The sequence below is a fragment of the Homo sapiens genome, chromosome 9, assembly GCF_000001405.40.
Source record: "Homo sapiens chromosome 9, GRCh38.p14 Primary Assembly".
Classification (NCBI taxonomy): domain Eukaryota; kingdom Metazoa; phylum Chordata; class Mammalia; order Primates; family Hominidae; genus Homo; species Homo sapiens.
In genome coordinates this window covers 12,414,424-12,416,116 of record NC_000009.12, presented here as the reverse complement: position 1 = coordinate 12,416,116, position 1,693 = coordinate 12,414,424, and positions in this window count along the sequence as shown.

The window sequence follows — 1,693 nt, the reverse complement described above, 5'->3', positions numbered from 1 at the left end:
AATCTCTGTCTAATACCATTGGCTCACCCTTGAATCCTTTCCTTGGCAAAGCCAAGAACCCTCCTGGGCTAAGCTCCAATTTGGGGTATTGCCTGTCCTGCAATATCTGTACCATGTTTTTCCCTATACACACATACCTATGATAAAGTTTAATTTATAAATCGGGCACAATATGAGGTTAACAACCATAACTAATAACAAAATAGAACAATTATAATAATATACTATAATAAAAGTTATGTGAATGTGGTCTTTTTCTCTCTGAAATATCTTATTGTGCTATATTTACCTAATTTTCAGACTGTGGTTGACTGCGGTAACTGAAACCTTGGATGAGGGGGGGACTACTCCCCCTATGTCTAAGATGTATTTTTAAATAATTTTGTCTGCAATATGTAAAGAAAAAAATATAGTTAATTTATGGATTTAACAATCTCTACTGTTAACTCGCGTGTTTAAATACACTCACTTGTACAACATCAACATTACACATTCAAAAACTAAAACAGATCAACCTTTTTTTTCCTTGGTTGGTACATGAGACAAGTCTGAGTCAATGTTTTTGCCCTCAGGCAGAAATAACATATTTTTGACAATTGTTAGAATTGCCTTAAGTATTTTTCCAGAAAGATAAGCCAAAACACTGTACCACTACACACATTTACTGATTATAAGCCTTACCCTTATTTAAACACTTAAAAAAAGTCATTTTGATGCCTAAATACCAGCAACTGGGTTTACAGTCCAAATACAAAGCTCAAGAGATTATAAAACCCCTTTGAAATAGCAAGTTTAGCTTTGGAAGAGTAACTGCAATTGGTTAAAATTATCCAGTTAAAAACTCAGTGACCACAAACTCCAAGCTAAGAGCCACAAAGGATGGCTTAGATCAGGATCAAAATAGGAAGAAACTTAAAAAAGATGAGGTTTAGGAAATGGTTGCAAATATGCGGCAGCTGGAGGTCTTCTCCCACATGGAATATATGCACTGTCTGTCTTTTAGAAGCTCTGCAGTTATGCTTGCAGTGTAATCTTTAGTGTCTATTAAAGCCAAGGATATTAAATTGTAGCTTCCCATTGTCTAAAAGCCTTCCTAAAGAGGTCAGATCTCCAAGACATGCCAGAAAAGGGAAAAATGAATTGTAGAACTACGTTTGGTTAATTATTTTACGTAAAAATATTTTCAGTGAAAGTCTGATTAAGCTCCACTAAGAAAACTAAACTTGCTTGAACTATTGTTCAAAGTGATTGAAATGTGTGGTTATACACAGAAGAGTAATTCTTTCTTAGATAAAATCATGCAGTCAATATCCCTCTTGTAAGAATGTTAAACTTAAGCACGCCCTGGTTATTCCACCTGGTTTATACAACTCGCTAAGAGTGCACGTAATCAAACACTCCCACTCTTGGACGGTCAAGCCACAAAATATTTTCTCGCCCTTCGGAATGTTTATCCTGAAGCTAAAGCAATTGGTTTGTGTAAACGTGAGTATAAATGGCTCTGTGTCAATACAGCAGGAAGCAGTTTGGGTACCTGTTAAATTAGGAGCTTTCCTGACAACCACATATTGAATCAGACAAGCAAAAAATCTTCTTCTCATTAAGAATTAACATTTTAACTGTAATCACTCATTAATTTTGAGGTAGAGAAGGGAGGATGGAAGGAGAGGGAGAAAGAGTTGGGGGAGGGAGG